The following is a 24,809-nucleotide window of genomic DNA, read 5'->3' as shown; positions in this document are numbered from 1 at the left end:
GAGATGGCGCCCTTGCACTCCAGTGTGGACAACAGAGTAAGACTCTGACTCAAATTAAAACAAAAAACAAATAACGAAAATTAGCCAGGTATGGTGGTAGGGGCCTGTAATCTCAGCTACTTGGGAGGCTGAGGCAGGAGAATTGCTTGAACCTGGGAAGTGGAGGTTGCAGTGAGCTGAGATTGCACCACTGCACTCCAGCCTGGGTGACAGAGTGAGACTCTCTCAAAAAAAAAAGAAAAAAGTTTTGGATAAAATATAGGGAAATTCAACAGCTCCTGATTAAAACCATTATATATTGATTATTCTATACTTGTTATTGCTCTATTTGCTACAAGATACCATAAATAAGAGAGACATCTTTTAAAAATAAACCTAGCTGGGCATGGTGGCTCACGCCTATAATCCTAGCACTTTGGGAGGCTGAGGCAGGAGGATTGTTTTGATTTCTGGAGTTCAGGACCAGCTTTGGGCCACACAGTGAGACACTGTCTCTCTCTCTTTTTTTTTTTTTTTTTTTTTTGAGATGGGGTTACGCTCTTGTTGCCCAGTCTGGAGTGCAATGGCACAATCTTGGCTCACTGCAACCTCTGCCTTCCAGGTTCAAGCAATTCTCCAGCCTCAGCCTCCCGAGTAGCTGGGATTACAGGTGCCCACCACCACACCTGACTAATTTTTGTATTTTTAGTAGAGATGGGATTTCACCATGTTGGTCAAGCTGGCCTTGAACCTCTGACCTCAGGTGATCCACCCACCTCGGCTTCCCAGAGTGCTGGGATTACTGGCATGAGCCACTGCACCCAGCCCTGTCTCTCTTTTTTTTTAATATTAAAATATAAAAATTAAAAAAATACATACATAGGCTGGGCACGGTGACTCACGCCTGTAATCCTAGCACTTTGGGAGGCTGAGATGGGTGGATCACCTGAGGTCGAGAGTTCGAGAGCAGCCTGACCAACATAGAGAAACCCCATCTCTACTAAATATACAAAATTAGCTGGATGTGGTGGTGCATGCCTGTAATCCCAGCTACTTGGGAGGCTGAGGCAGGAGAATCGCTTGAACCCAGGAGGCAGAGGTTGCGGTGAGCCGAGATCACATCATTGCACTCCAGCCTGGGCAACAAGAGCGAAACGCCATCTCAAAAAAAAAAAAAAAACCCACCATATATAAACTAAAGAATTTATCTGAATATTCGTGCAATAACACCATCCCTGTCACTTACATGTACTACCATGACCTACTCTGATTGTTCTCAAAGAAAATAGAAGAATTGTGGTAAAGTGAATAATTCACCCCATTTCTTCACTTCTGCCTGTATCCACATGTTTGTCATGACTTCATGATGGGCAGAGTACATTTTTCTCCTCTTGATGTGCTTTGGTCAATGGCATGTGGGTAGAATTGACAGTGTGCAGCTTTGAACTTGGGCCTTTAAGAGACCTTGAATCTTTCTGCTTACTCTTATGTTTCCTCTAGCTCCATGAGAATATCTCATGGGTTCAAAGAGGATGAGAGACACCAGTAGCAAAGGTCCTACCAGGCATCCTCCAGAATTGCTGTGTGAAGCAAAGCCACCAAACTCAGCCTAGCCTAGAGTACCTGAACCGGGTCAATGTGCAGGTCCATGAAAATAAATGATCAGTTTTTAAGCCACTGAGTTTCTTGGTATCACGTGCCATAATTTTGAAGTATGCCTAGGCTCTCTTTTTTTTTTTTTTTTTTTTGAGACAAGGTCTCGTTCTGTCATGCAGGTTGGAGTGCAGTGATGTGATCACCACTCAATCCAGCCTGGACCTCCCGGGCTCAAGCCTATTTCAGCCTCCTGCGTAGCTGGGACTATAGGTGCATGCCACCACACTGGCTAGTTTTTGTATTTTTTGTAGAGATGAGGTTTCACCTTCACCATATTGGCTAGGCTGGTCTTGAACTCCTGGGCTCAAGTGATCTACCTGCCTCGGCCTCCCCAAGTGCTAGGATTACAGGCCTGAGCCACTGTGCACAGCCGCGGCTGTCATTTGAGTTACACAATTTATCTATTTATTTATTTATTTAGAGACAGAGTCTTGCTCTGTCGCCAGGCTGCAATGCAGTGGTGCGATCTCGGCTCATTGCAACCTCCGCTTCCCAGGTTCAAGCAATTCTCCTGCCTCAGCCTCCCTAGTAGCTGGGACTACAGGCGCACGCCACTATACCCAGCCAATTTTTGTATTTTTAGTAGAAACAAGGTTTCACCATGTTGGCCAGGATAGTCTCAATCTCTTGACCTCGTGATTCACCCACCTCAGCATCCCAGAGTGCTGGGGTTATAGGCATGCGCCACTGTGCCCAGCCGAATTACATAAATTATTTAAGGCTTGGAGCAGTGGCTCACACCTGTAATCCTAGCAGTTTGGGAGGCAGAGGCGGGAGGATCGCTTAAAGTCAGGAGTTCGAGACCAGCCTGGGCAACAAAACGAGACTCTGTCTCTACAAAGGAAAAAAAAAAAGTTAAGTAGTCTACTTTGACTGATAAAACTAGCCTTTTAGGCCAGGCGCGGTGGCTCATGCCTGTAATCCCAGCACTTTGGGATGCTGAGGCGGGTGGATCACAAGGTCAGGAGATTGAGGTCATCCTAGCTAATACGGTGAAACCCTGTCTCTACTAAAGAATACCAAAAAAAAAAAAAAAAATTAGGCGGGTGTGGTGGTGGGCACCTGTAGTCCCAGCTACTAGGGAGGCTGAGGCAGGAGAATGGCGTGAACCCGGGAGGCAGAGCTTGCAGTGAGCCGAGATTGCACCCCTACACACCAGCCTGGGCAACTGAGCAAGACTCCATCTCAAAAAAATAAAAAAATAAATAGTACAAATAAAACTAGCCTTTTAGAGGCAGGGGCTTATGTATATATCCTAGCAATTGTTCCATAAAAGCCTGCAGATTGGGCCGGGCGCAGTGGCTCACACCTGTAATCCCAGCACTTTGGGAGGCTGAGGCAGGCGGATCACCTGAGGTCAGGAGTTCGAGACCAGCCTGGCCAACATGGTGAAACCCCGTCTCTACTAAAAATACAAAAATTAGCCAGGCATGGTGGCAGGTGTCTGTAATCCCAGCTACTCGGGAGGCTGAGGCAGGAGAATCGCTTGAACCCAGGAGGCTTGAACCCAGTGAGCTGAGATCGTGCCATTGCACTTCAGCCTGGGGGACAAGAGCGAGACTTCATCTCAAAAAAAAAAAAAAGCTTGCAGATTGGGAACTGATGAACCTGAAGCCCTTGCTCACTTTTATCCCCTCTGGTTGCCAATTGCCTGAAATAACATGTCTGTGACCTGGTGTTAGGGCATGTTACTGCTTATCTGTTTTGGACAAGCATAGTCATGCATTTGTTCTGTTTGGAAGAGAGAATGGGTAATAGTCAATACTTTCTCCAGCAGAAAAAGGCAAAAACCAATTTTGATTGTGGAGACATGATATAAGTGGTCCTTAGCTTGCTGGGAACTTGAAATATTTCCCTTAAAACGTGTTTTAAAGGGTAGTTGGGTTCCCAGGTGGTTTGTTCTTTCAAATGAATGAATGTTTGTTCTTTCATCTATTCCCTTTTGTCACTGCACATTAGGCTGTATATTAAAAACTAAGGATACAAAAAAGCGATCTCTTGCCAGGAAGATGTTTGAAACCATGTGGCGACATTACCATGTAAACATAGATTAAAATATAATACAGTAGATGGTAAACCAAAGCCATGAACAAAGTAAAAGGAGAGTAGATAAAGGTGTTTCTAAATGTACATTGAAGAGAAGAAAATGTACAAAAAGTAGATTCTGGCCGGGTGCAGTGGCTGACACCTGTAATCCTAGCACTTTGGGAGGCCAAGGCGGGCAGATTACGTGAGCTCAGGATTTCGAGACTAGCCTGGGCAACATAGTGAGCACTCATCTCAAAAACAAAAAAAATTTAAAAATAAAAATAAAAGTAGGTTTTTTGATTATAGCCAAACTAGTTCCATTAAGATACTTAATTCTCCCTTAAAATGTTTCTATGGAAAATGCATTTCTTTTTTTTTTTTTTTTTTTTTTGAGACGGAGTCTTGCTCTGTTGCCCAGGCTGGAGTGCAGTGGCGCCATCTCGGCTCTCTGCAACCTCTGCCTCCCAGGTTTATGCCATTCTCCTGCTCCAGCCTCCCGAGTATCTGGAACTATAGGCATCCACCACCATGCCCAGCTAATTTTTTGAATTTTTAGTAGAGACGGGGTTTCACCGTGTTAGCCAGGATGGTCTCAATCTCCTGACCTCGTGCTCCGCCCGCCTCAGCCTCCCAAAGTGCTGGGATTACAGGCGTGAGCCACTGCGCCCAGCCGGAAAATGCATTTCTAAGCCTGTTTAGTAAGTCCAGAACACACCTGTCTACCAACTCTTCTCTATGCCTAGCCCACCATAGGTGAGACTGAAATACTTTTTTTCACTTTATGTAATTTAATGCTGTTGAGATAAGGTCTCTCATAAGAGGATGTGTTTAGAGCTTTAAGGGCACTGGTCCTTTGTAGGAGAGCATACGGTGGCAATGAGAATCTAGGGGTTGTTTGTAAAAAGCAAGTGTTTTAAAACTGAGGACCACACAGTATATTGTGACAACCGCAATATATTCTTTTCTCCTTGCTGCCTAATAGTTGAGTAGTATGGAATACCTTGTGCCACTTACTTAAAGCCTTAAACTGGTCATATTGAAAACTAGACTAGAACAGGCTGGGCGCGGTGGCTCATGCCTGTAATCCCAGCACTTCAGGAGGCCGAGGCGGGCAGATCACTTGAGCTCGGGAGGTCAAGACTAGTCTGGGCAAAATGGTGAAACCCCATCTCTACCAAAAATACAAAAAATTTACTAGGCGTTGTGGCGTGTGCCTGTAGTCCCAGCTAGTCGGGAGGCTGAGGCATGAGAATTGCTTGAGCCTGGAGGCAGAGGTTGCAGTGAGCTGAGATTGCGCCACTGCCCTCCAGCCTAGGCAACAGAGTGAGACGCTGTCTCAAAAAATAACAAACAAACAAAACAACTGGTTGAGCATCCCTAATCCAAAATTCCAAAATCTGAAATGCTCCAAAATCCAAAATTCATTGGACCATTTCAGATTTTGAATTTTCAGATTAGGGATGCTCAACCAGTAATTATTATGCAAATATTCCAAAATAGGAGGAAAAAATCAGAAATCTAACTGGCAGAATGTAACCTGGTTTCCCTTGGGGTGCTTTCATGATGATTTCCATAGACTTTTTTCACCTAATTTTGTATTTTATATACCACTTTTCAGATCAGTATAAAACTTTTCCCCTTTATTTTTATTACTGATTTTAGAGAAAACTGGTTTCTGAAATACGAATATCTTGGGCTTTACAAAAATCACTAGTTTTATTTTAAATATTCCATTGCCCCTAAAAAGTTAAACAATAACCTCACTGATTTCCAAGGCTTCCAGGAGGCTGATTTGTAACTGAAAGGGCTGTGAATGATGTTTATCAGAATCAAATTTGCGCGATTTATCAGACACTAATGAGTTTTAGATTATCATAATTGCTTAGTGAATTTCTGCCATCTAACTAAAAAAAATTCTGTTTATCACCAGATCCTAGAACCCTATCAATATTGTCTCTGCTGTGTAAATAGTTCTGAGTAGTGCAATATTGCTTATAGGGTTTTGGTGTTTGGAAAGAACAATGGGCAGGCTGCAGAAAGTATGTAGCAGAAACAAGCAAAAGTCATCTTTAGGAAGAAAACAAGGAACTAGATTTCACTATAAACATTAAAATCTGAGGCTTAAATGTAAATTTTTAATTTATTAGAAGAAGGTAACTTTTCTTTTTGACAAATGGGTTTATTTGTAGTATAAAGAAATAATGGAATTTTAGTATTGAAAAGGATCTTAGATTCCAACTCATTTGATAGGAGAGACCCAAAGAAATGAGGGACTTAACCTAGGGACACATAGCTGGTTAGTGATACTAGGACTAGAATTTCTACCATGTATCCGAATTCTTTTATTTTTCTGTACCATACTACCATGTTGTGTTCAGAGGGAATTTTTAGTTGACTAGCTTTGTAACTTTAGTGATATTAATTTAAAACATAAAAAAACTTTAATTTTAGGTGAAGAATGTACATTTTTGGATGGGTGTGGTGGCTGACACCTGTAGTTCCAGCACTTTGAGAGGCTAAGGCGGGAAGATTGTTTGAGCTCAGGAGTTCAAGTCCAGCCTGGGTAACATAGCGAGACCTTGTCTCTACAAAAAAATACAAAAATTAGCTGGGTTTGGTAGTGCACGTCTGTAGTCCCAGCTACTCAGGAGGCTTAGGCAGGAGAATCAAATCTCTTGAGTCCAGGAGGTTGAGGCTGCAGTGAGCTGTGATTTGTGCCACTGCACTCGCCTGGGCAACAAAGCAAGACCCTGTCTCAAAAAGAAAAAAAAGAATTTACATTTTTTCCACATGTGTGACTCTTAATGGCTTAAATATCATCTATAACTTTGTCTAACTACATAAGAAAACAGTAATGGAAATAGAACTAGAGGCAAGTTACTTTGCTATTTTCTCATTTATAAAATGAAGGGTTCAGAGCAGACATTTAAGATGATTTTTCGGCTGGGCGTGGTAGCTCACACCTGTAATCCCAGCATTTTTGGAGGCCGAGGAGGGCGGATCACAAGGTCAGGAGATCAAGACGAGCCTGGCCAACATGGTGAAACCCTGTCTGTACTAAAAATACAAAACTTAGCTGGGTATGGTGGTGCACGCCTATAGTCCCATCCGCTCGGGAGGATGAGGCAGGAGAATCGCTTGAACCCGGGAAGTGGAGGTTGCAGTCAGCCAAGATTGTGCCACTGCACTCCAGCCTGGCAACAGAGTGAGACTCCGTCTCAAACAAAAAAAAAAAAGCTTATTTTTCTATCTTTCAACATTTTGGCATCCTTTTTGCCCCCTGCTTATTCCCTAGCCCACTGACTTCACTAATAAGCCAGTACTGGCCAGGCACAGTGGTTCACACCTGTAATCCTAGTACTTTGGGAGGCCGAGGTGGGTGGATCACCTGAGGTCAGGAGTTCGAGACCAGCCTGCCCAACATGGTGATACCCCGTCTCTACTAAAAATACAAAAAATGAGCCAGGCATGGTGGCAGGCGCCTGTAATCCCAGCTACTTGGGAGGCTGAGGCAGGAGAATCTCTTGAACCTGGGAGGTAGAGGTTGCAGTGAGCCCCGAGATCGCGCCACTGCACTCCAGCCTGGGTGACAAGAGCGAAACTCGGTCTAAATAATAATAATAAGTCAGTACTGCCCCTGTGTGTTATTAGACGTTCTATACAATTTTCCACAGAGGATAACATTCTACCCACAAGCTGTTTTTTTTTTCTTCCTTCCTCCCTTCCTTTTGGAGATGGGGTCTCACTATATTGCCCAGGCTGGAGTGCAGTGACTAGTCACAGGAGAGATTATAATACACTGCAGCCTTGAACTCCTGGGCTCAAGCAATCCTCCTGCCTCAGCTCTTTAAGTAACTGGGACTACAAGTACACATCAAATCTAGCAGAAGCTGTTTTTCTTGTCTTTTTAAAAAAATATTTTAAAAATTATTTTATATTTTTTAAAAATATATTTTTTAAAATATAAAATTAAATATGCAATATAAAATTTTAAAATATATATTTAAAAATTATTTTATATATTTTAAAAATATATTTTTTAAATATATTTTTTCAGGATGGGTGTGGTAGAAAATATTTTTTTCAGCCACCGTGTCCGGCTAATTTATATAATTTAATTTGTAATGATGCCTATGTTTAATAATTGTCTTGCAAAAAATCTTGACAGTTTAGGCTGGGGGCAGTGGCCCAAGCCTGTAATCCCACCACTTTGGGAGGCCAAGCATGGCAGATCACTGGAGGTCAAGAGTTTGAGACCAGCCTGGGCAACATGGTGAAATCCCATTTTACTAAAATGAGTAAAAATTAGCTGGGTGTGGTGGCGGGTGCCTGTAATCCCAGCTACTTGGAGGCTGAGGCAGGAGAATTGCCTGAACCCGGGAGGTGGAGGGTGCAGTGAGCTGAGATTGCACCACTATACTATAGCCTGGATGACAGAGTGAGACTCCTTCTAAAAAAAAAAAAAAAAAAAAAAAAAGACAGTTTAGTTGATTTCATCATACCATTGATTAGAAGGGTACTCTTTGGTATCTTCCTAAAATAAAAGTTATTTAAAAGTAGAAACCGCCTCTTTTTGGTACCATTTGATGGTTAACACATTTTGGGCCCCTAGGTATTGCAGGAAACCATAGTGGAAACCTCTCTCTTAAAAAGATGCCAGGCTGGTGGCTCACACCTGTAATCCCAGCGCTTTGGGAGGCCGAGGCAGGCCGATCACTTGAGGTCAGGAGTTCGAGACCAGCCTGGCCAATATGGTGAAACCCCGTCTCTACTAAAAATACAAAAATTAGTCAGGCGTAATGGCATGTGCCTGTAGTCCCAGCTACTTGGGAGGCTGAAGTGGGAGGATCTGTTGAGCCTGGGAGGTTGGGGCTGTAGTGAGCCGAGTTGTTGCCACTGCACTCCTGCTTGTATGACAGAGTGAGACCCTGTCTCAAAAAAAATAAATGACAAAAATATATATATGAATATAGTCTACATTTGGGAGTTTTGTGTCCCCCAAACTCATCATGTTTTGTGACATATACGTTAGATTATTGTAAAAATCTTTCAAACCTTGGAGGTCTCAGTTGCCAAATTTAGGACAATTTAGGCCTGTAGTCCCAGCTCTCAGGAGGCTGAGGCAGGAGAATTGCTTGAACCCCGGAGGCAGAGGTTGCAGTGAGCCAAGACTGTGCCACTGCACTCTAGCCTGGGCAACAGAACAAGACTCCTCCAAAAAAAAAAAGGAAAGTTACCATTCAAGGAACTACATGAGATTATGCTAAACTTCAAGCAGAACTAAATATCAAGTTAAAAAATATGTAAGTTTAATACTTCGTTTCATAAACATGTTAAGGGTTTCTAGAATAGAGATTCTGTCTTAGGAATCTCTGGAGCCACAAATTCCATAATTTATGGTAAATTAAATGACTAAAACAAGCTTTAAAGACTTGTATTTAAAGTTGTGCTTAAGAATGTTATATAACTCATTGAAAAAAGCTATGGAATTGTGGTCTGTTCAGTAATTAAGACAAACAAAATCAGGTCTTGAGTGCTCACAGCCTTTGTTAACTTTGATTTGCTCTGGCTCCTGGTCTCTCCTCATTCTCTCCATCCACATGTTTTATGGGTTAGTGTACTTTTCTTATTTATAGGAAAAGATAATCCCTAAGTATATCTTAGTATGAGAAATTATGCAAATAGGAATTTCTTAATACACACACAGACACAAACATTAGTATTTTTAAGGAGTTGTAATTATTGATTAATTTAATCGTGGCATCTCATCTGACAAGTATAGAGGATAAATGAAAAGCTTCCACTTTTTGGAAATCATTTTAAACACACTTTGTAATTATGTACCCAACATTAATTTTTCTGGCTTAGAGCAACTCCCTGATGTTAGAGATGGAAATAAGATATTGACCTGGAAAATATGTTTAAAAACAAAAACCTTCTCTTTCTTTTATCTGTACCCTCCCCCCAAGTTTTGGCTATAAAGATAGAATTTTGGTCATTGCAGAGTTTTCCATTCCAATTTAGGTCAATGATAAGAGAAATTATTAGTGATGGAAACTAGTTTATTTCTGAAATTCTGTTTGATGACAGCTTCTGACCTTAGAAGCATTTGAATTTCTGACAGCCATTTTGTCTTACTCTACATTTGAAAGTAGGGTCCTAATAGAACCTTTTATATACTAAAAATAACTGTACATCATTTCTTATTAGACCTGAGAACTGCTTTTAACAGTTTTTCCCCTTCCACTAAGGCTTCAGGATTTTGAGAATCAATCTTTAGTTCAGTGATAAAGTTCATAATAAGAGCAGCACCCTCCCTGCAAACAGCCTCCTATGTTTTGGGATAGGAATAGGAGACCATGCCTGTGGAAATCATGTTTTCCTTTCTGTAGTAAACTCTAAGGACAGTTATATCCCTGATAAACTCGAGGCAATATATGCTTTAAGGTCCTGTAAAAGATGCGGAATTTCATGAAGTTAAGAATAATTCATTGATTATACCGCTTGCAGAAATAAACCACTTTTAGGCTGGACATGGTGGCTCACGTCTGTAATTCCAGCACTTCGGGAGGCTGAGGTGGGAGGACTGCTTCAGCCCAGCATGGGCAACATAATGAGATCCTGTCTCTGTAAAAAATCAAAAATTAGCTGGGTGCCATGGCATGTGCCTGTAGTCCCAGGTGCACTCGGAAGGAGGTAGGAGGATCCCACGAGCCCAGGAGTTTGACACTGCAGTGAGCTATGATGGTGCCACAACACTTCAGCCTGGGCTATAGAGCAAGACCCTGTCTCATAAAAAAGAAAAAGAAAATTCTTTTTAACACTGTCATATATCCATCTCAACTTTGTATATGTATACATCTCTTTTACAAAAAGAGGCCATAACATACTCAAGGCTGTTTTTGTATTTAATGAGTCATAAATATAGTGTCATGTCAAATCTGTCTATACATTATCATTTTAAAAACAAATGACCTTTTGAAAGGTTAAATAGCTGCTCATTACAAATACTACAGAAATAGAGTAAAATGTGAAAGCCCCCCCTTAAGTATTTTTTTGTATATCATCGTTTTCAATAATGGCATGGTATTCCAAATATTGATATTTACTTATTTACTTATTTATGAGATAGAGTCTTGCTCTGTTACCCAGGCAGGAGTGCAGTGGCCAATCTTGGCTCACTGCAACTTCCGCTTCCTCGGTTCAACTGATTCTAGTGCCTCAGCTACCCAAATAGCTGGGACCACAGGCACATGCCACTATCCCCAGCTAATTTTAGTATTTTTAGTAGAGATGGGGTTTTGCCATGTTGGCCAGGCTAGCCTTGAATTCCCGGGCTGAAGTGACCCGCCCGCCTCAGCCTCCCAAAGTGCTGGGATTACAGGGATGAGCCACTGTGCCTGGCCCCAAATACTTATTTTTTTTTTTGTGGAGACGGAGTTTCATTCTTGTCGCCCAGGCTGGAGTGCAATGGTGCAATCTTGGCTTACTGCAGCCTCCACCTCCGGGGTTCAAGCGATTCTCCTGCCTCAGCCTCCCGAGTAAGTGGGATTACAGGCTTCTGCCACCATGCACAGCTAATTTTTGTATTTTTGGTAGAGATGAGGTTTCACCATGTTAGCCAGGCTGGTCTCAAACTCCTGACCTCAGGTGATCCACCTGCCTTGGCCTCCCAAAGTGCTGGGATTACAGGTGTGAACCACTGTGCCCGGCCAATACTGATATTTTTAAATGTAACTTTTCACTTTAATTCAGGCATCCTATATCCATAATGGCCTCAGGGTGGTAGTTCTCCCCTTTTTTCTTCCTTTGAGGTTTACTACAGATCAAGTTCCCATGCTGGCACCCAGGTTCAGTAAATTGGGGTTATTCAGACTGTTACTCCCATATCATATGTAGCTTTTCTTGTGAAATTTGTGACTCTTTAAGCCCTCTTAATTTTAGTGGCACATAGTTGTAGCTCTTTGATCAATGGGATTGCAAATAAAGGTAACAATATGAGTATTCCTGAAATAAATTTGTTCTGTGTTTTAAATTGAAAGTGTATTTTCTGCCAGAGGTAGAAAAACACTGCCTAACTGATGAGAGTATCTGTGACCCTAGGAAATTATTGACGTCATTATTAGTTTTTTGTATTAATATCTGACAATGGCTACTCAGTATCTTGATTTTGGCTCAAAATGTAAGAGAGAGGCATAGAGAAATGAATGACTTTAAAATGTTAACTACTTTTTAAATTTTTCATAGAGCATAGTTATTATGGATAATGGATATTTTATATACTTTTTATTTCCACATTTTCAAATGAGTATGTATCACTTATTGAAATACTAACAAATGTAAAGAGAAAAAAAGAATAAAGTATCATGTTTACTATTAGTCTTTTGGTTTACACAATAATGATTTGTGCTGATCTTTAGTTCCAGAAAGCTGAGTCTGATCTGGATTACATTCAATACAGGCTGGAATATGAAATCAAGACTAATCATCCTGATTCAGCAAGTGAGGTAATCTCCGAAATAAATAAGCTTAAAAAAAATCAGCCTTAACTGAATACTTTAGAATTTTCTGATAGCATTCCTAATAGTAATAGATCATAAGAATTATATTATTAAGTTTATAGAATCTTAAAATCTTGCATTGTGTTGGAAGTTTGGTTATAGCACACTGGAGAAATAGTACCAATAGTCCGTGAAATTTGTGGCTACTTTTTTTCCCCTAACCTTTAAAAAATAATCATTGAGTTCAGAGGTACAAGCCACTGTGGCAGCCTCTGAAATTCCAAGAGAGAATATAGCTACCTCTAGGGCAGTTGTTCTTCAGTAAGTTTGAGGGGAGAAGTCCTGGCAGTCAGCATATTCTCTGAGGAAGGTAATGATACACTATTAGATTTTTTACTTATATTTTATGAATAGTGATTTCTAGATAAAGCTATCTATTTAATTACTCTAAGTTTAGGTTGATTAGAAACATTAACTCTGCTTTATGTCATAAAATCATTAAGTGTAAGTATACATACATGTTCATGGGGGTGAAAGTAAATAATCTCCAAGCATCGTCTGTTAACATTAACACTAAAATCACTAATTCAATAATGTTTATCTTTTTTTCCCCAAAGCCCAGGTATCAGGCTTAATTAATATTTATCTTTTTTTTTTTTTGAGACGGATCACTCTGTCGTCCAGGCTGGAGTGCAGTGGTGCAATCTCAGCTCACCATAACCTCCACTTCCTGGGTTCAAGCGATTCTCTTGCCTCAGTCTCCCAAGTAGCTGGGATTACAGGCGTGCGCCACAATGCCCAGCTAATTTTTTTTTTTTTTTTTTTTTTTGTATTTTTAGTAGAGACGGAGTTTCACTATGTTGGCCAGGCTGGTCTTGAGCTCCTGACCTCAAGTGATCTGCCTACCTCAGCCTCTCAAGGTGTTGGGATTACAGGCATGAGCCACCACGTGCGACCAATATTTGTCTTTGATAGCACTTACCAGCAGACAAGAAACAGTGCATTTTACAGTTAAAAAAAAATTCCATACAATTAAAAAAATTTTTTTTTGGATTGGGTAGAAGTATAAGTTAAACTAACATTTTATAGAAAATTGGGAAAATTTCACGAATGTTCAGTTTTTACTGTTTATTTCATGGAATGCTAGAATTCTATGGGAGTGTAGTTTGTACTGTTCTAGCTCCCTATTCTTTTCTTTCTTTCCTTTCTCTTTTTTCTTCCCTTTTTTCTTTCTCTCTCTCCCCCCCGCCTCTTTCTCTCTTCCTCCCTCCCTCTCTTTTTCTCTCTTCCTTCCCTTCCCCTTACCCTCCCTTCCTCCCTTCCTTCCTTCCCTCCTTCCCTCTTTCTCTCCTTCCTTCCTTCCTTCCCTCCCTCCCTCCCTCCCTCTTTTCCTTCCTCCCATCCTTCTTCTCCCTCCCTTTCCTCCCTTCCCTTCCTTTCCCTTCCTTCTGTTATCCAGGCTGGAGTTCAGGGGTGTGATCTTGGGTCACTGCAGCCTCCACCTCCCAGGTTCAAGGGATTCTCCCGCCTCAGCCTCCCGAGTAGCTGGGATTACAGGCGCAGGCTACCATGCTCGGCTAATTTTTGTATTTTTTAGTAGAGATGGGGTTTCACCATGTTAGGCTGGTCTCAAACTCCTGACCTCAAGTGATCCACCCGCCTCAGCCTCCTAAAGTGCTGGGATTAGTCGTGAGCCACCACACCTGGCCCTTTCCTTCCTTTTCTTCCTTTCTTTCCTCACTTCCCTTCCATTCCTTCATTCCTTCTCTTTCCTTCCCCTGCCTTCCCTTCCTTCCTTTCTTTCTTTTGTCTTAAAGATTCCTGTGATATTTCTTCTCAGCCTTTTGGCTAAGATCAAGTGTAGTATCTGTTTTTATCAGTTTAAAGACCGTGTGTGTGTGTGTGTGTGTGTGTGTGTGTGTGTGTGTATGTGTGTTTAAGATAGGGTCTCACTCTGTCACCCAGGCTGGAGTGCGGTAACAAAATCTCAGCTCACTTCAGCCTTGACTTCCTGGGCTCAAGCAATCCTCCCACCTCAGTCCGCCAAGTGCCTGGAACTATAGGCACACACCACCACACCCAGCTAATTTTTGTATTTTTAGTGGAGATGGGATTTTAACATGTTGCCTAGGTTGGTTTTGAACTCCTGGACTCAAGCGATCTACCTGCCTTGGCCTCCCAAAGTGCTGGGATTATAGGCGTGCGCCACCACGCCTGACCTAGTCAGTATCTTTCAAGTACTGTTTTGAAAGACATTGACGTGTAGTGCTCCCATTTTTCCTCTGACTTCCATCTCTCATCTTTGTTCCACCTGTGGGTATTTTTTTTCCTGCAACTTTTTAAAAAAGCAGCTTTATTGAGCTATAATTCATATACCATTAAATTCACCCCTTTAAAGTATATAATTAAGTGGCTTTTAGTATTCATGGTTTTGTAGCCATTGCCACAATAACATTTTCATCACCTCAGAAAGAAACCCCATACCCATGAGTAGCTACTCCCTACCACCCTTCCCTGCTATCCTGCAAGCTCCCAAAGACGAATCTACTTTCTGTCTCCACAGATTTGTTGTCTGAACATTTCAGATAAATAGAATCATATAATATATGACCTTTCATGTCTAACTTTTTCACTTAGGATGTTTCTTTTTTTTTTTTTTTTGAGACCGAGTCTCGCTCTGTCACCCAGGCTGGAGTGAAGTGGCACTATCTCTGCTCCCTGCAACCTCCGCCTTCCGAGTTCAAGCAACTCTCCTGCCTCAACTTCCTGAGTAGCTGGGACTACTGGTGTGTGCCACCACATCTGGCTAATTTTTGTATTTTTTAGTAGAGACAGGGTTTTGCCATGTTGGCCAGGCTGGTCTTGAACTCCTGACGTCAGGTGATCCACCCTCCTCGGCCTCCCAAAGTGCTGGGATTGCAGGCATGAGCCACTGCACCTGGCCCACTTAGGATGTTTCTAAGTTTCATCCATGTTGTAGCGTCAATCAGTACTTCATTTGCTTTTACTGCTGAGTAATACTCCACTGTATGGCTATACTCCATCTTCTTTTCTCTCTCTTTTTTTTTTTCTGAGATGGAGTCTTGCTCTGTCCCCTAGGCTGGAGTGCAGTGGTGCAATCTCAGCTCACTGCAACCTCCGCCTCCTGGGTTCAAGCGATTCTCCTGCCTCAGCCTCCTGAGTAGCTAGGAGTACAGGTGCGTGCCACCACACCAGCTGATTTTTGTATTTTCAGTAGAGACAGGGTTTCACCATGTTGGCCAGGCTGGTCTCAAACTCCTGACCTCATGATCCACCCACCTCGGCCTCCCAAAGTGCTGGGATTACAGGTGTGAGCCACCGTGCCCGGCCCATACTCCATTTTCTTATCCAGTCATCAGTTGATGGTGGTCATTTGTGTTGTTTCCACCTTTTGGCTGCTATGAACATACATTTACAAGTTGTTGTGTGGACATGTGTTTTCATTTCTCTCGAGTATATACCTTGGAGTAGAATTGCTGGCCATATGATAACTCAGGTTTAATATTTTAAGGAACTACCAAACTGTTTTCCAAGGCATCTAAAGCATTTTACATTCTCAGTTTAAAAAAAAAAATTGTGGGCTGGGTGTGGTGGCTCATGCCTGTAATCCCAGCACTTTGGGAAACTGAGGCAGGCTGATCATCTGATGTCAGGAGTTTAAGACCAGCCTGGCTAACATGATGAAACCCGTCTCTACTAAAAATACAAAATTAGCCGGGCGTGGTGGCACGAGCCTGTAACCCCAGCTACTTGGGAGGCTGAGATAGGAGAATTGCTTGAACCCAGGAGGTGAAGGTTGCAGTGAGTCCAGATTGCGCCATTGAACTCCAGCCTGGGCGACAGATCAAGACTGTCTCAAAAGAAAAGAAAAGAAAAGAAATTGTAGTAAAATGTAAATAACAACATTTACCATTTTAATATGGTCCAGGCTGAACTCCAATTCCTAGGTTTATCCTCTGGCCTCAATATCCTTAGCAGCTGGGATTACAGGCACGTGTCCTTATACCTGATAGCCATCTTAATCTTTTTTAAGTGAACAGTTCACTGGCATTAACTACATTCACATTATTGTACAATATCACCATCATCAATCTCCAGAAGGTTTTCATCTCCCCACATTGTAACTGTATATCCATTAAACAATAACTCCACGTTCCTTTCTTCCACTCCTAGCAGCCACCATTCTACTTTCTGTCTCTATCAATTTGACTACTCTAGGGACTCATATAAGTAGAATCATATAATATTTGTCTTTTTGTGACTCATGTATGTCACTTATAATGTTCTCAAGATTCATATATAGTGTAGCAGTGTCAGTTTCCTTTCTTTTTAAGGTGGAATAATATTCCATTGAATGTATGTACCACATTTTGTTTATCGATTCATCTGTTAATGGACATTTGGTTTGCTTTCACCTTTTGGCTACTGTGAATAATGCTACTATGAACACTGGTATGCAAGTATCTGTTTGAGTACCTGCTTTCAACTTTCGGGTTTATACCCAGAAGTGCAATTGCTGGATCACATGGTAATTCTGTGTTTCAATTTTTGAGGAAATATGACTTTTTAACTCCTGTAATATTCAATAACTTCAAGAAAATCTCTGCTTTCTCCCTTTTTCGTGTGTTATAGTTGAGAATAAAGCCATGATTTTAATCTTTGTAGATTTGTCCAACATCAGTCTTAATGATTTATATACATGTAAAGGAACAGGAAAGAAAGTAAACAACTAGTTGCAGTAGCCTCTAATACCTCTGTCTGGCGGCAGGGTGGTTATAGTAGTAGTAAATATTTATTGAACATTACTATGTGCCAGCCACTGTGGTGTGTGTGTATGTGTGTGTTTGTATACTCACACCCACATCCATACATATAATTTGGTTTAGCTGCATTATCCTCATTCTAGTACCCCTCGTGATTTGGAGGCAGTCAGTAATTCTGCATAAAAGTCAACATTTTTGGCTAGGATTTGTTTATTTACAGAGAGCTAACAAGAAACTATAAGTTTCTATTACTATATTCTTCAACTTTATTTGTTCCAGAAACATAATTTTATTTATTTATTTATTTATTTATTTATTCATTTATTTATTTTGAGACGGAGTCTCGCTCTGTCGCCCAGGCTGGAGTGCAGTGGCGCGATCTCGGCTCACTGCAAGCTCCGCCTCCCGGGTTCACGCCATTCTCCTGCCTCAGCCTCCCGAGTAGCTGGGACTACAGGCACCCGCCACCAAGCCCGGCTAATTTTTTGTATTTTTAGTAGAGGCGGGGTTTCACTGTGTTAGCCAGGATGGTCTCGATCTCCTGACCTCGTGATCCGCCCTCCTCTGCCTCCCAAAGTGCTGGGATTACAGGCGTGAGCCACCACGCCCGGCAGAGAAACATAATTTTATTTTATGAACATTTTCCCTATAGATTCTTTTAAGCTTAGTAGTATAATTCATTTCCTTTTGTTTCTTTCAAAAGACTTAATTGAACTGAGCTTTTTGTTCATATATTGGCTTTTCTTTTCTCCCATCACCAGCACTATCATTAGCAGAGTATTTTTATGTATTTTTGTAATCATTTTTTTTTTTTTTTTGGAGACGGAGTCTCACCCTGTCGCCCAGGCTGGAATGCAATGGCATGATCTCGGCTCACTGGGTTCAAGTGATTCTCCTGCCTCACCCTCCCGAGTAGCTGGGATTACAGGTACCCGCTACTATCCTGGCTAATTTTTGTATTTTTATTAGAGACGGGGTTTCACCATGTTGGTCAGGCTGGTCTTGAACTCCTGACCTCAGGTGATCCACCAGTCTTGGCCTCCCAAAGCTGAGATTACAGGCGTGAGCCACCTCGCTCAGCCATTCTTGTAACCTTTTATCATCCACTCATGATAACTAAAACCCTAAAATGAATTGAAGTATTATAGGCACAAAATTAACTAAAGTGCAGCACAGTTTACAAACACTAATAAAAGAATCGTAGAGGCTCCTGGCCGGGCGCGGTGGCTCATACCTGTAATCCCAGCACTTTGGGAGGCCAAGGCGGGTGGATCACCTGAGGGCCAGGAGTTCAAGACCAGCCTGACCAACATGGAGAAACCCCATCTCTACTAAAAAAAAAAAAAAAAAAAAAATACAAAATTAGCCAGGCGTAGTGGCGCATGCCTGTAATCCCAGCTACTTGAGAGGCTGAGGCAGGAGAATTGCTTGAACCTGGGAGGCGAAAGTTGCGGTGAGCTGAGATCCCGCCATTGCACTCCAGCCTGGGAAACAAGAGCGAAACTCCATCTCAAAAAAAAAAAAAAAAGAATGTAGTGGTTCCCAACAGCCAGTTACTCAAATAAAACAGGCTATGCGCACAACAGTTTTTCCTTTGTGGTATGGTGCTAAGTCCTAACCACAGTCCTAACCTGTCATAAACAGGCCATAAATGCAAATCATGTTGTCCTAAATTACTCACTGCCATGTCAGTCTTATTGATCGAGCTAATGTCATAAAAACATGTATTATGGGTAGCTGCCCAACTACCCTGTCCTCTCTTTTAGCTCTATGGCCATTTATTTCTTATGCTTTATATACCAACTTTCCTTTCCTAGTTTTGTGAGATCCTCAAGGATTAGTTCTTGTCACTTTTATTTTTTCCTGTATGAATCTGTATTTGGGGAACTCATCATTCTCCTGAGTTATATTAATACATGCAGATCTCTGGGTATTTCACTACTGAGCTACATTCCAGTTACCTAAAGATCATTTATAATTAAGTTACATAATTTATTATCACCTCATGAGGAAGATGACTTCTTCCCTCCTACCAATTTCCCTCCCAATGTTAAACTTTTTTTTTTTTCCCCAGACAGAGTCTCACTCTGTTGTCCAGACTGGAGTGCAGTGGCATGATCATGGCTCACTGCAGCTTTGACCTCCTGGGCTCAGGTGATCCTCCCACCTCAGTCTCCTGCGTAGGTGGAAATACAGGTGTGTGCCACCACACCTGGTTCTAATTTTTTGTATTTTAGTAAGGATGGGGTTTTGCCATGTTTACTAGGCTGGTCTTGCCTGGGCTCAAGTGATCCTCCTGTCTCAGCCTCCCAAAGTGTTGGGATTATAGATGTGAGTCACCACCCCGGCCTAAACTTTTATTTTTGTCAAATTCTTGAATATATTTGAAGAGTTGCAGAAATATAAAGCTTATAATTACAAAGAATAATGCTTCACACTCCCACCCTCAAGAAGGATACCACTCATCTCAGTGTCTTATGGTATTTCCTTTATATTTCTAAATAGTTTTCCTTGTACTGCATCTTTATTTTTCCTGATCTGAAACATCTACTAATTTCCTGGATACGAACTGTTATACTTCACATCCTGGCTCTGCCTCTTATTAGCACTGTGATTTTAGCCAAGTCAGTTAACCTTTCTGTACTTTAATTTCCTCATCTGTAAAATGGGAATATTACTATGTACCTCAGAGATTGAGAGAAAATAAAATTAGTTAACATATATAACTGTTTAGTCCAGAGTAAGTGCTATACATTAGCTGTTATCATTAATAATAATTTCCTACTATAGGCCTGATGTAGTAGCTCACACTTGTAGTCCCAGCTACTTGGGATGCTGAGGTGGGAGGATCACTTGAGCCCAGTAGTTCAAGTGAGCTATGATTGCACCACTGCACTCCAGCCTAGGTGACAGAGTAAGATTCTAACTTTTTTTTTTTTTTTTCCTGAGACAGAGTCTTGCTCTGTTGCCCAGGCTGGAGTGCAGTGACATGATCTTGGCTCACTGCAACCTCCGCCTCCCAGGTTCAAGCGATTCTCCTGCCTCAGCCTCCTGAGTAGCTGGGATTACAGGCACATGCCACCCTGCCCAGCTAATTTTTGTATTTTTAGTAGATTCAGGGCTTCACCGTGTTGGCCAGGCTGGTCTCACACTCCTGACCTCATGATCCACCCGCTTCAGCTTCCCAAAGTGCTGGGATTACAGGCATTAGCCATCACACCCAGCCAATTCTAACTCTTAAAAAAAAAAAAAAAAAAAAAAGAATTTTGTACTATGGAAGATAAAGTTTAAATACTTTACTACCCATATTTATTCCTGTCTTCACAATTTCTGTAACTCTTTTATATAAGCCCTATTGAATACTGTGTCTGCTTTCCTTTCTTCACAACTTATTTTTCTAGAGCTAATAATTGTTTTCTTTTTTTTCCTTCCATTTGCTTAGTTTTTCTTTTCTTTTCTTTTCTTTTTTTTTTTTTTTTTTGAGACAAGGTTTTGCTCTGCCGCCCAGGCTGGAGTGCAGGAGTTTGAGACCAGCCTGGCCAACATAGGGAAGCCCCATCTCTACAAAAAATAATTTAAAGGTTGGGCGCAGTGGTTCACGCCTGTAATCCCAGCGCTTTGGGAGGCCGAGGTAGGCAGATCACCTGAGGTCAGGAGTTCTAGACCAGCCTGGCCAACATGGCGAAACCTCATCTCTACTAAAACTACAAAAATTAGCTGGGTGTGGTGGCACACACCTGTAGTCCCAGCTACTCTGTGACCATGGCTTACGGCAGTATCTGCCTCCCAGGCCCAAGTGATCCTCCCTGCTTAGCCGCCCGAGTAGCTAGCACCATAGGCATGTGCCAGCACACCTGGCTAATTTAAAAAATAATAATAGTTATTATTTTTTGAGATGGAGTCTTGCTCTGTCGCCCAGGCTGGAGTGCAGTGGTACCATCTTGGTTCACTGCAACCTCTGCCTCCCAGGCTCAAGTGATCCTCCCACCTCAGCCTCCTGAGTAGCTGGGACTACAGGCGTGTGCTACCACGCCCGGCTAATTTTTGTATTATTAGTAGAGATGAGGTTTCGCCATGTTGGCCATGCTGTTCTGGAACTCCTGACCTCAAGTGATCTGCCCCTCTTGGTCTCCCAAAGTGCTGGGACTTGCAGGCGTGAGTCACTGCACCCAGCCTTTGAATTATTTTTTGTAGAGATGAGGTTTCACGCTATGTTGCCCAGGCTGGTACTGAACTCCTGACCTCAAGCGATCCTCCCGCCTTGGCATCCCAAAGTGCTAGAATTACAAGCATGAGCCACCATGGCCCAGCCTGCTTAGTTTTTCTATATACTTTTCACTAATTCAGCCTCAGACATTTCTAACAACTGTAAAACTCTTCTCAATATTGTCAGACACACTACATGTTCTTTAAGTTTTATTTTCTCCCATGGAAACATCCTATCCTTTCTGGTGTCTCTATCCTGCTCCCATCTGACCTCCTGCTCTATAGGCTTCTTGAATTGCTGTCTTTCTGGGATTTTTTTTTTTTTTCAGATGGAGTCGCACTCTGTGGTTAGGCTGGAGTGCAGTGGCGTGATCTTGGATCACTACAACCTCTGCCTCCCAGGTTCAAGCAATTCTCCCACCTCAGCCTCCCGAGTAGCTGGGACTACAGGCGCATGCCGACACGCCTGGCTAATTTTTTTTTTTTTTTTTTTTTTTTTTTTTGTATTTTCGTAGAGACGGTGTTTCACCATGTTGGCCAGGCTGGTCTCGAACTCCTGAGTTCAGGCAATCCGCCCGCCTCGGCCTCCCAAAGTGCTGGGATTACAGGCGTGAGCCACCGCGCCCGACCTTTTTTTTTTTTTGAGAGGGAGTTTTGCTCTTGTCACCCAGGCTGGAATGCAATGGTGCCATCTTGGCTCACTGCCACCTCTGCCTCCCAGGCTCAAGTGATTCTCCTGCCTCAGCCTACTGAGGCAAGGACTACAGGCGCCCACCACAATGCCCGGCTAATTTTTGTATTTTTAGTAGAGACGGGGTTTCGCTATGTTGGCCAGGCTGGTCTCGAACTCCTGACCTCAGGTGATCCACCCGTCTCGGCTTCCCAAAGTGTTGAGATTACAGTCATGAGCCACTGCGCCCGGCATTTCTGGGATTTCTTTACCATTATTTTGGTACTTCCCTTTGTTTTATTCCTGTGTTGTATCATATGTTTCACTCTTTGGTGGTTTATTTCTTTGATCTGGAAGTATATCATTTAGACGCTTCCTGAGGAAGATTACACAGAAAGTTAACTTTTTGAGATGCTGAATGTTTGAAAAAGTCTTTATTGTACCCTTTAACCCTTTTTCTTTTTTTTTTTTTTTTGAGACGGAGTCTCCCTCAGTCGCCCAGGCTGGAGTGCAGTGGCACGATCTCGGCTCACAGCAACCTCTGCCTCCCGGGTTCAAGCGATTCTCCTGCCTCAGCCTCTTGAGTAGCTGGGACTACAGGTGCCCGCCACAATGCCCAGCTAATTTTTTGTATTTTTCGTAGAGACGGGGTTTCACCGTGTTAGCCAGGATGGTCTCGATTTCCTGACCTCATGATCTGCCCGCCTCGGCCTCCCAAAGTGCTGGGATTACAGGCGTGAGCCACTGCGCCCGGCCTAACCCTTTGTTTGATGAGTGGTTTGGTTGAATATAGGATTCTAGATTGGAGATTTTCTCTTAATTTTAACATCATTACTTCGTGGTTTTCTAGCTTCTATTGTTGCTGTTGAAAAATGGATGCCATTCTCATTCCTGATCCTTTGTCTGTGCTTTCCTCCTCAGCCTACCCCAGTCCCTTACCTATCACCTGGAAGTTTCAGAATATTTTTTCTATCCTGCGAAAATTTACAGTTATGGTATAGATCTTTTTATTAATTGTGCTGTCACTTGGTGGGGCCTGAAAATATATGAATCTTACCTAATCATAAAAAAAGAAATCTGGCAGGATACAGTGGCTCACACCTGTAATTCTAGCACTTTGGGAGGCTGATGCAGGAGGATCACTTGAGGCCAGGAGTTTAAGACCAGCCTGGGCAACACAGTGAGATTCCTGTATCTATTTAAAAAAAAAATTAAAGAAAAGAATTACCAAGTGGCAGAAGGGGTCCAATTGAAATGTCTTTTATGGAATAGTGGTAATGTATATTACAAAATAAATCTGGAAAACCAGCATAGTTTATAAATACAGTTGGGTTGGCATGAATTTTATATTTTGTGTGTATATAAGTAAATTGATATTTATACATACTTTATCCCCATGATAGTATGTTTACGAATTTTGGCCGGGCGCAGTGGCTCACACCTGTAATCCCAGCACTTTGGGAGGTTGAGGCGGGCGGATCACAAGGTCAGGAGATTGAGACCATCCTTGCTAACACGGTGAAACCCCTTCTCTACTAAAAATACAAAAAATTAGCTGGGCGTGGTGGCGGGCGCCTGTAGTCCCAGCTACTCCGGAGGCTGAGGCAGGAGAATGGCATGAACCTGGGAGGTGAAGCTTGCAGTGAGCTGAGATTGCGCCACTGCACTCCAGCCTGGGCAACAGAGTGAGACTCCATCTCAAAAAAAAAAAAAAGATTTTTATAAGTAGTTTCAAGTTCTTATTCTTTAAGAACAAATACTAATAGTGCCTTTTATCTTCTTCTGAATAGCATTTAGAATTGTATTTTAGAAATATTGTATAATTTATTATTGTGAACTATCCATCAAATGTTATATATCTAAGGTGACCCTTATTTGCTGTTTAATATTGCTAATTTTTTTGGTGGGTTATTTCTGTACCTAGGCTATAAATTCCTTGAGAATAGGATCTAGGTCTTATACTTTTCTCTCTTCCCCACCTCCCATCTGATGTCATGTGGCTGCATAATTAAATACTCAACAGTGTTCAATTAAATGGATGGTAGAATGTGTTGTATGTATACAGTATTTTAATTCTTAAAAAGTTTAATCTTTCATAATTTAATACATGTTCACTTTTTTCCTGACATAGAAAAATCCAGTTACACTCTTAAAGGAATTGTCAGTGATAAAGTCTCGATATCAAACTTTGTATGCCCGCTTTAAACCAGTTGCTGTTGAGCAGAAAGAGAGTAAGAGCCGCATTTGTGCTACTGTGAAAAAGACTATGAATATGATACAAAAACTACAGAAGCAAACAGACCTGGAGGTAATGCTTTCAGTTGACAGGTTAGATTTGTTTAGCTTTAGCTCTGAGTGTTGCTTTGAAAAATAAACCTGATGTAACTTAAATTTTGAAACTCAGCAGTCAGTTTGAACTATTGAAAGATTTTCCTGATACCCTGAAGTATAATAGCTCTTATTTCTGTTTATTTAAAAATAAGCATTTGGACTTGACATGGTTAATAAAGAATTGTGCTGTCTTGAATTATGTAACCATGGCAGAAAACTTGGTAATACTTATAAAATCTAGCAGCTTAGCTGGTTCCTGTAAGTACTAGTGAGACTGAGATGTCTAGAAAAGGGTGGCTTAGAGTGCTGTATCAAGGAGCTGTGTCTGGACATGGCAGAAAATAGCGTAGTCTGCCACGAGCATGGGAAGGAGGAAGGGCTGCATATGTGATATTTATTTGCCAACTCTACACTAAATTTTGGCTTAAGATACTTTGAATTATGGGCTTGTAGCTAGAGTAAATCAGAAAGGTTAATTACCCAGGTCAGTTTGATCAAGAATACTTTATATTGCAAATGGAGGGGAAAAAATAGAATAATATCTGCTTAGAACGATAAAATGATACCTTAGATGTATCTGTTATATCACAAGGAGATGAATGATGGAGGAAGGAAGGGCAATTGAACAGGGAATAGAGGTAATGGGGAGACAGA

At 41.8% G+C, this 24,809-nt stretch overlaps 1 protein-coding gene, 1 non-coding gene and 1 pseudogene across 4 annotated transcripts in view, besides 1 other annotated feature; all 3 read left to right on the top strand.

Moving 5' to 3' along the window:
• Positions 1–24,809, top strand: part of SKA2 (spindle and kinetochore associated complex subunit 2) — a 45,330-nt gene that overhangs the window by 11,736 nt on the left and 8,785 nt on the right. The window contains exons 2-3 of one of the 3 annotated variants that reach the window (NM_182620.4): positions 12,084–12,170; positions 23,956–24,132. In NM_182620.4, the coding sequence (NP_872426.1) occupies positions 12,084–12,170; positions 23,956–24,132 (264 nt within the window). Of the gene's footprint in view, positions 1–12,083; positions 12,171–23,955; positions 24,153–24,809 lie in introns of all 3 variants that reach the window. The other 2 variants (NM_001330399.2, NM_001100595.2) reach the window with 2 other exon arrangements.
• On the top strand, positions 5,579–5,693 carry MIR454 (microRNA 454). The gene has a single exon (NR_030411.1). It is a non-coding gene; the product is annotated as a microRNA 454 (primary transcript).
• Positions 13,993–14,175, top strand: RNU2-58P (RNA, U2 small nuclear 58, pseudogene; annotated as a pseudogene).
• Positions 18,698–18,747: an enhancer, noted in NCBI's record as "active region_12500". NCBI's record gives its function as "activates an Ori minimal core promoter by ATAC-STARR-seq in GM12878 lymphoblastoid cells {active_cell/tissue: GM12878}" and the evidence as "EXISTENCE:reporter gene assay evidence [ECO:0000049][PMID:35858748]".

This window comes from Homo sapiens, chromosome 17, assembly GCF_000001405.40.
Source record: "Homo sapiens chromosome 17, GRCh38.p14 Primary Assembly".
Classification (NCBI taxonomy): Eukaryota; Metazoa; Chordata; class Mammalia; order Primates; family Hominidae; genus Homo; species Homo sapiens.
This window is presented reverse-complemented; position numbering and strand designations above follow the sequence as displayed.